Raw genomic sequence first — 10,576 nt, 5'->3', positions numbered from 1 at the left:
TGGCTACAATTAAAAGTTAAAAATAACAGATGCTGTCAAGGTTGTCGAGAAAAAAAGAATGCTTATACACTGTTGGTTGTAGTGTAAATTAGTTCAACCATTGTGGAAAGCAATGTGGCGATTTTTCAAAGAGCTGAACACAGAAATACCACTTGACCCAGCAATCCCATTATGGATCTATACCCCAAGGAATACAAATCATTCTATCATAAGGACACATGCACATGTATGTTCATTGCAGCATTATTCACAATAGCAAAACATTGATTCAACCTAAATGTTCATTAATGGTAATCTGAATAAACAAAATGTGTTACATATTCACTGGAATACTATGCAGCCATAGAAAGAGATACACTGGGAATACTATGTAGCCATAAAAATGAGATCATGTTCTTTGCATGAACATAGATAGAGCTGGAGGCCATTATCTTTAGCAAACTAACACAGAAACAAAAAAACTAAATAGTGCATGTTTTCCCTTATAAGTGGGAGCTAAACAGTGAGAACACATGGACACAGAGAAGGGAACAACAGACACTGGGGCTTAGTTGAGGGTAGAGGGAGAAAGGAGGAAGGGGATCAGAAAAAATAACAATTGGGTGCTAGGCTTAGTACCTGGATGATGAAATAATCAGTACAACAAAGCCCCATGGCACCAATTTACCTATATAACTAACCTGCACATGTACCTATGAACCTAAAATAAAAGGTTTCCTTTTCAAAAAGAAAAGACTGACTTCCCTCAAAGAAGAAGGAATTCTGCCAGCAGGCAGCATTCAGACTCCAACTACAACACCAATGTTTCCTGGGTCTCCTGCCTGCCAGCCTACCCTACAGATTTTGGACTTACAAGCCTCCATAATTATATGAGCCAATTCTTTAAAATAAATAGATGATAGATTAGATAGATAGATAGATAATATAGATATAGATAGATATAGATGGACAGACAGGCAAATATAGACACCTTAATGGTTCTGTTTCTCTGGAGAACTCTCATACAAGTATTAAAAAATTATGATAAAATCATGAAATGAAGATGGGGAAAAGATAAAGCAGGGATAAAGTTATCTCCAAGATGCATGCCATAGATCTTGCACACTTTATTAAATATGGGGCACAATTTTGACTCTGAGATTCCTATCAGCTCAAATAAGTAAACCTAATCATATAAATAATTTCAGAGAACCCATAAAATGAAATACAGTTCACTCTTAAACAATGTAGAGGTTATGGGCACGTAAAACTAATGTAGTCAAAAATCCAAGTATAACTTTTGACTCCCCCAAAACTTAACTACTTATAGCCTACTGTTCATGGTAAGCCTTACCAATAATATAAACAGTCAACTAACACATATTTTGTATGGTACATTTATTTCTATGCCATATTCTTACAATAAAGTAAGCTAGAGAAAATAAAATGTTATTAAGAAAATCATAAGAAAGAGAAAATATACTTGCTGTTCAAGTGAAAGTAGATCATCATCAAGGTCTTCAACCTTATTATCTTCACAGTAAGAGGATGTGGAAGAGGAGTGATTGATCTTGCTGTCTGAGGGGTGATAGAGGCAGGAGGAAATTCATGTATACTAACCATCAGAGAAATGCAAATGAAAACCACAATTACATTCCACTTTATATCAGTCACAATGGCTGTTATTAAAAAGACAAAAGATAACAGGCCCTGACAGGGCTGCAGAGAAAAGGGAACACATACATTTTTGGAAGGAATGCAAATTATTTCAGCCATTGTGGAAAGTAGTTTGAAGATTTTACCAAGAATTTAAAACAGAACTGCCATTTGACCCAGCAATCCCATTACTGGGTATATACCCAAAGAAAATAAATCATTCTACAAAAAAGACACATGCAATTGTGTGTTCATCGCAGCACTATTCACAATAGCAAAGACATGGCATCAATTTAGGTACCCATTGACAGTGGATTAAAGAAAAAGTGGTTCATATACATTGTGGAATACTATGTTCCGTAAAAAGGAACAAAATCATGTCCTTTGTGGCAACATGGATGCTGCTGGAGGACATTATCCTAAGTGAATTAATGAAGAAACATAAAACCAGATACCACATGTTCTCACTTACAAATGGAAAGTGAACATTGGGTGCACATGGACATAAAGATGGGAACATTTGGCTGAGCTCAGTGGCTCATGTCTGTAATCTTAGCACTTTGGGAGGCCGAGGCGGGTGAATCATTTGAGGTCAGGAGTTTGAGACCAGCCTAGCCAACTGGTGAAACTCCATCTCTATGAAAAATACAAAAAAAATTGGGTGGGAATTGCGGCACATGCCTGTAATCCCAGCTACTTGGGAGGCTGAGGCAGGAGAATTGCTTTAACCTGGGAGGTGGAAGTTGCAGTGAGCCAAGATTTTGCCGCTGCACTTCAGCCTGGGTGACAGAGGGAGACTGTGTCTCAAAAAACAAAAACAAAAAAACAAAAAAAAAACAACAGATGGGGACAATAGACACTGGGGACCACTAGAGGTGGGAGAGAGAGAGCAGGACAAGAGCTGAAAAGCTACGTGTTAGATATTGTGCTCACTACCTGGGTGATGGGATCATTTGTACCCCAAACCTCAACATCACATGATAAACCTATGTAACAAACCTGCATATGTACTCCCTGATTCTAAGATAAAAGTCAAAATTAGAAAAAAAAAAAAACCACAAAAAATGAGTTAGCTATTCAATAACCTGGCAAAATAATGGAAAAAAAGTTAAAGAACACCATCTCCTCAATACATAAGTAATCAATAGACACACTGTATTTTAAAATATGCCTCAAGAGAAAAACCATACACTCACCTAAACAAAAAAAATGGTTTCCAGAAAAGGACAATACAATTAATAAATTTCTAGAGAGACTAAGATTAAAAAATACAAATTATTAATATCGGGAATAAAAACAGAAGGTATAGCTACAAATTCTACAGCCACTAAAAAAGTAATAATGAAAAGCAATGAACAATTCTACACTTATGAATTTGGCAATTTAGGTGAAATGAACCAATTTTTTCAAAATTACAAACTATCAAACTCATACATATGAAATAGAAATTTAACTCACAATTAAAAAGCTTTTAAAAAGCCAAGAAAGTATCATTGGAAACAAACAGGCCCATATGATTTCACTAGAGAACTGAACAAAACTTTTAGAGATGAATTGTCACCAATTCCAAACAATCTATTCCAGAAAATAAAATACAAGGAACATTTCTAGCTCATTTTATGAGAACCCTATTACCCTGATGACAGAACCAGACAAAGGCATCACAGGACAAAGAAAACTACAGACCAATACCTCTCATGTACTTAGATGCAAAAATTCTCAACAAAATACTAGCAAATCAAAATTAGCAGGATATGCATGTAATTATACACCATTATCAAGTGCAGTTTATTCCAAGAATGCAAAGCTGTTTCAATATTGGAAAACTAATCAGTGTAACCCATAATATCAATGAAATAATAAATGAAAAAGCACAAGATCATATCAATTGTTGCGAAACAAAATTTGATAAAATCCAACAGCTGTTAATTATAAAACTTCTCAGCAAACTAGAAACAGAGTAAAATTTCTTCAATTTGATAAATAATATCTATAAAAAAACTTAGAGCTCACTTATGCTCATTCACCTTATTCACTTTAACATCATACGTACTGGTGAAAGACTGAATTATTTTCTCCTAAGATAGGAAACAAGGCAAGGGTGTCCACTCTCACCACTTTATTTAACACAGTAGAGGAATTCTTACCCAGCATAATAAGGCAAGAAAAAAAGACATACCTATTAGAAAGGAAGGAATAAATCTGTCTCAACTTTAAAGTGAGATAGATAGATAGATGATATATATAGAAAATCCCAAGGAATCTGGAAGAAAACACCTAGAAATAAAAAGTGAGTTTTCAAGTTCACAAGATACAAGGTCCAAAACAAAAACGACATCATATTTTTATACTAGCCATGAATATGTGGAAACAAATTAAAACACAATGCCATTTACAATGTCATGTTCCTGGTTCGATACTATACTACATTCATTTAAGATGTGACTTTAAGGCAGCAGTCCCCAATCTTTTTGGCACCAGGAACCAGTTTTGTGGAAGACAATTTTTCCACAGAAGGGGAGGTGGTGGTATAAGGGGATGTTTTCGGGATGAAACTGTTCCACCTCAGATCATCAGACAATAGATTCTCATAAGGAGTAGGCCACCTACATCCCTCGCCTGACCTCAGGCAGTAGTGCTCGCTCACTTGCAGCTCACCTCCTGCTCTGTGGATGGGTTCCTAACAGGCTATGGACTGGTACCAGTCCGCAGCTGGGGGTTCGGGGACTCCTGCTCTAAGGGAATCCAGTTGAGGGGTGCCCAGTACTCCATGTACTACCTATAAAAAGCTTCCAACAATGTTTTTCAGAAAGACTCTCACTTCTCTCTAACATCTCCCCTAATTCATTGTTGCATGACATGCTTCTCCAAGTTGATTGGTAACAATTTGGATGAGACTTGGACGTAGGGATATTGTTGTGAGATGAAGTAAACTTCATTATGAACAAAAGAATGATTTATCGTACTAATTATACAGAGTTACGTTGTGACAGATTTTACATTGCTTGATTACAGAGTGACAATATCTATCAAGTGGTATGGCAAAATGCCAAAGAGAATGATACTGGCCTTGCACTGGGAGCCCTGGTTCTAGGAACCACATACTGTGCCAGTCATTAACCCATCTTTTGCTGGATCAAATGGGGGAATATTAGAAACAGATATCTGGGGAAAGAGGGACACACAGCTTGCTCAGAGCCACAGTTATTTACCAAACTGTTCAGACTTATTTTAATAATCGTTCAACCAGAATATCCATACTGGTGTGTATTAGGTGATATGAGCCCCTATTACATATGACTTAATTAATTTTGGTTGTTTTCTCTTTTTTCCATTCTAGTGAGGCAAATATGTGATTTAGGTATTCATAGCATAATCTTTGACTATAAGATATTTAAGCTGCTGTAACACTGTTTCTCAAAAATTTTTACATTCTAGCATTATCAGGACATTCTCTGAAATAAATTGGTAGTTTTTGAAAAAAAAAAAGAAATAAAACATTGATGACTGTGTACCAAGATATTTAAACACACTAAGTGTTGTTTTAGCACTTCTTTATTTTCTACCACAATTAGAAATACTCTATGCTTACAGGTTTTTACAAATAAAACCATAATATAATATAAAAATTTTATTTACATATAAGCTATCTAAGGTACATATTTTTGATAACTTAATTTGCTCTTAAAGTAGGGGCTATAAATTATACTGTGTTTTTATTTCTCAAGAATTTTTGGATGAACACACCAGGACTCCCAGTTCTATAAAAATAAACTGTTTGTCTTTAGGCCATTTCATCCTCAGGGGTTATAGTGTATTAGACAGCAAGTAAGCCCTGGAAAAGAGAAAGACGGATCACTAGGGAGAAAAAAATGTATTACTAGAGAGAGTTTAAGAAGTGTCAATTCTTCGGAACTAAAACCAATTTAACAAAAAAGGAGAGTGTCTCCATATTGTATGAAGCCCTACCAACTCCAGTCATAAACAGTACAGGAGAGAGAGGTATAGAATGATAGTGTTTCTCTAATTGTTAATGAAAGTAAATGTGATTGTTTATTTTAAAAAGTGGCACATATATGTTTTATTTTCCTTTTGCCTATTTTACCCTTTGATTGATGAAACAGCAAGTTAATGGCATATTTTAATGAGTTTTTAGCTCCCTACATGTGCTATTATAATCTTGGCAACCTGCTTTGACCCTCTCATTTATTTCAGATATTTATACTTTTAAAATAAATGTACAGAAGTACATGAATAAGATCTACTTGTATCCAATTATAAGAAATTTAAAAAATAAAAAATATAAATGCGGAGATTGGATAAATTTATCTAATTTTGTAAATATATTATTTCTGAATTATTTGAATTTTGATAATATTACAATTTAATAGTGTGCTAATTTGCAGTGTGTTCTGCTAAACTTATCATAGATGTCATTTTACTCATTATACTAATGTCATTTATTTCAGTATACTCTTAAAATTCAACAGTGTATCATTTTACTATAATTTCAAAAATTATATTACTTAGAAAGAGAGATGTCTGTCTCGATTATATGAGAATTGCTTCTTCAGCTAAGACATAATTTTACCTAACCCATTGTATTAGTCAGGGTTCTGTAGAGGGACATAACTAATGGAATATATATATATATAAAAGACAGTTTATTAAGTATTAACTTATATGATCACAAGGTCCCATAATAGACAGTCTTCAGGCTGAAGAGCAGGAACAGCCAGTTCGAGTACCAAAACTGAAAAACTTTGAGTCTAATGTTTGAGGGCAGAAAGCATCCAGCACAGGGGAAAGATGTAGGCTGGGAGGCTAGGCCTGTCTCATCTCTTTTCATTTTTCTGCCTGCTTTATCTTCTAGCTGAGCTGGCAGCTGATTAGATGGTGCCCACCAAGATTAAGGGTGGGTCTGCCTTCCCCAGCCCACTGACTCACATGGTAATCTCCTTTGGCAACACCCTCACAGACACACCCAGGATCAATACTTTGTATCCTTCAATCCAATCAAGATGACACTCACTATGAACTATCATACCCATCTTTATGTTTTCATTAAGTGAAATAACATAGATACTTTAAAAATAGAATGAGCACAACTTATTGTAGACTAAAATCAGATAAATGTCACAAATCAGTATATTTAATCTTAAACTCCTGTCCCCAAAGTACAAGATGTTTACAACAGATTTTATTTCTTTACGATTGCTTTGACTGTGTATGGGTATAATATTAATGTCTTATTTCTAGTTATGTTGTTGTTGATGATGATTCTTATGGGGTATGTCGACAGGGCACCACTTAATCTAGAAAAAAATGAGGGGTGGAGGATATAACACTGGAAATCATCAGGCTAAGTTAGGAGAAACACATGAATAAAAGCCATCAAATTCATGAAATGTAGAGAGTTCATGAAGACCTAATGAAAAATGTACATACATGAAGAAGGAGAAATTACATAATTTATATGTTTGCAAACACTGCTTTAAGATGAGAGAAACTCAGGAGGAGCTTAAACAAAGTGTAGGTTCTTTTTAAGGAGGGAATGCTCTAGAAATGGGGCTTTCAGGTGCAACTGTGAAACACACTTGCAAATAAAGTAAACACATTGTGACCCTAGAGACAGTATTAGGGAGGAGACTGAGGGTCTAAACAAATTATTGTAGCTTGGGTATAAAAATAGTTCTTGAAGTCTGCAAGCACCAGAGTGCTTCCGAGTACTAATGAATTCTTCAGTCACTGACTACAGTCAATTCAGCAAAGTTGCATATTCAAGTAATCTTGAATGTTCTGGGACTGCTATTTCTGATCATGGTCTCAGAAAAGCATAGCTCTCTCCTCTGGTACTCAGTGTAACTTGGTCTTGGAGCTGAGCAATCCAACAGCCTGCATCTTACAAGGCTCTTTTCCATACCATCACCAAGGAGGTTTGTGTTTTTCCATGTGGAGAAATAGAATATAGGGCAATTAAAGGAAGTCAAACAGGTCATAGTGGAGATCAAAATATCATCTGTATAATCAAGATGTACACTTGCAGGTGGGAGAGATCTTTGCTCTCTTCTCTACCACCAACTCTTACTCATCAAAACAAAATGAGAAGGGTAGAGACTTTATTTTTAAGATGTGGTCAGTGAAATAATTAAGCAAACATTCATGAATTCATTAAAACCATCTGTATTTTGGGGGGCAGGGGAAATAATAGAAATCAAAACATTTTTCTGATCAGACTGTTTTAACCCAAACCAAATTTTACCTGATGTTGCATATTTTAAATTAAAATATACTACTTTAAATTAAGATACACTTCCTTTTTGAAAAATAAAAAAAGTACGAATTCCACTTTAATTTTTTAATATGGTAGATTGGGGTGCATGACAATATATATCACCTGACAGTTGACATGGCTTTTGTTGTCACAACTGAGGATAAGTAAATATGAAGGTTACTTAATAATTTTCCTCTCTATATATACGTGAAAAAGATTGAGAAGAGCTTATGCAGGTATTTTCTAATATATATTTACAATACAGTATCACCTAGCAATGTATTTATGATGTCATGAAAATTTAAAAAATGAATATACTAATACATGAATCTATTCGATGAGAGTGATGAAGTGATTTATGTATAGAACAATCTGTTGATAGAACTTTTCACTTTTTATTTCTGTTGAGGTATGATCTTTTTCAAATCTTCAAATTCTCTAGTACTCTGTAGTTCAAGTCAATTGGGAGCTATTGTGGATCAGTAGCTAAGCAACAGATTTAAAGTCCAGAGGCTATTCCCCTATATTTCGTCTGCCAATAACAGCATGAGATGGTAAGCAAACCATTTAACCTTCCAATCTCACTATCCCTCATCTTTTCAACAGGGAGGTAATATAGCTTACTTCTCAAAGCCCAGTGAAATATCTCTTAAAAGTATTCCTAAAGTAGTATGGGAGAGATGCCCTACGGTATTGTCATAAAGCAAAAGCAGTTTTACATCCTGCTTTTTCCACATGACGTGTGACCCATTAGAGCTAATATTCCCTAATAGAGAAATATTCCCTCACCATGCCTTAGGGCTTCCCAAATAATTCTTTATAATCTTCTGATATTCCATTACTTATAAAAGCATGAAAGCATTAACAAATGAGGTTAGATTTCTTTAAAGCTTTTCATATTCATGGTTATATTATACATAGAATCTTTTTAACTGTCCTTAGTGTTTTAAGAAAATTTCTTGCTAGAGGTGAACACAGAGAAACAATACTTTTGAATTCTATAGAATGTTGATATAGATATAGAATAAATGTCTTTTTTACTTCCTATTAAAAGCTTGGATTTGTCTGTGACTTCAGTTTTGTTATTATAGAGCCTGCTCAAAAAAAGAGAAACAGATACAAAATTAAGTGTCCAAAAGAAACTCTATCTCAATGTTGCTCAGTGAAAGTAACCTTTGCTTTTTTTCTGTTCATAATGCGTATGCTAAAATGCATAATATGAGCAATGCAGGTTGGAAGATGAGATAATGATATTGGTGATGATGGGTGTGTTTCCTGGATCCAAGTTACCAATTCTTCCTATGTACAGAACTGATGATTTTACGGCATACCTAATTCACTCAGTGTTTGTTTTTTTTCTCAAGTCTTAGTAAAAGGATATACACAGATAGCTGTTCATACATTTACTCATAGAACCCCAATTGCACTATTTAGATAACATAAAAAAATTTTTCCAAATTCTCGAAGAAATCTACTCTTAATCCTTCATTAAGATGCACATGTTCAGCAGAGGTGTACACATCTTTTGTGAAGCCAAATATAATACCGTACAAAAGCATTCTTGTGAATCTCTATTACATGGCGAATCTGTGGTTTCTGTTTTATTTTTATTTCATTTGTTTTTATTTTGTTTTTAAAGAGCCTGCCAAACACATGAAAATACTAGGGAATGCAACAGACAGAATGTAATTTTCCCTTTGAAATTTAGCCAGATCATCCCAAGAGCCAGAGAAAGTTGTTGCCTCTTCAATTATTAAAAATCCTTTAGAACCATATTACTATAGCAGATATTCTACAATTTGGACACATTTTAATAACTATCATTAGTTGCTGCTGTAGCAGTGTGTTGACAAAGAGAGGATCTAAAAAGGATGAAACAATGAAGAAGAAATCAAGGCTTTGTATAAACCAAGGCCTTACAAGCCTAACACCAAAATAAAAATGTAAAGCTTCTTTGTACTGCAAAGGTCGTTGCATTTCCCTAATAATGGTACTGAAGCCCCTATTTAAAAACTGATCAATAATCGCCTAATAATTTATTGCACATACTTCTTTTTCAATATTTCAGTCACTGTAAATATATAAGGCACATCATTCTTTACAAAATCTAAATGTGCATATTAATTGACTGAAAGAATGTAATAAGCTTTTTCTTTGCGCTGAGATATGAAATATCTATTACATTATTTTGATATAATTGCCAACATAACAGTTTTAAGATTTCCACTTAAATTTACCTTTTATAACAGTGGCAGAAGATTTTCTTAAAGAAAAGTCCGGCAGAGAGGAGTCAAGATGGCCGAATAGGAACAGCTCCGGTCTACAGCTCCCAGCGTGAGCGACGCAGAAGACGGGTGATTTCTGCATTTCCATCTGAGGTACTGGGTTCATCTCACTAGGGAGTGCCAGACAGTGGGCGCAAGTCAGTGGGTGCGCGCACCGTGCGCGAGCCGAAGCAGGGCGAGGCGTTGCCTCACTTGGGAAGCGCAAGGGGTCAGGGAGTTCCCTTTCCGAGTCAAAGAAAGGGGTAACGGAGGGCACCTGGAAAATCGGGTCACTCCCACCTGAATACTGCGCTTTTCCGACGGGCTTAAAAAATGGTGCACCACCAGATTATATCTCGCACCTGGCTCAGAGGGTCCTACGCCCACGGAGTCTCGCTGATTG

The 10,576-nt window shown here is 35.3% G+C and overlaps 1 long non-coding RNA gene across 1 annotated transcript; it reads right to left on the bottom strand.

Annotated features, from left to right (window-relative positions):
* Window positions 1-1,362: 1,362 nt before the first annotated feature.
* LOC124907919 (uncharacterized) lies at window positions 1,363-10,216 on the bottom strand. The gene is made up of 2 exons (XR_007087379.1): window positions 10,147-10,216; window positions 1,363-1,557 (listed from the first exon to the last, which is right to left on the bottom strand). It is a non-coding gene; the product is annotated as an uncharacterized LOC124907919 (long non-coding RNA).
* Between the last annotated feature and the right edge of the window lie 360 nt (window positions 10,217-10,576).

Source organism: Homo sapiens, chromosome 2 (genome assembly GCF_000001405.40).
Source record: "Homo sapiens chromosome 2, GRCh38.p14 Primary Assembly".
In the NCBI taxonomy this organism is placed as follows: domain Eukaryota; kingdom Metazoa; phylum Chordata; class Mammalia; order Primates; family Hominidae; genus Homo; species Homo sapiens.
The sequence above is the reverse complement of the archived record's forward strand: the minus strand, read 5'-3'. Positions and strand labels throughout refer to the sequence as shown.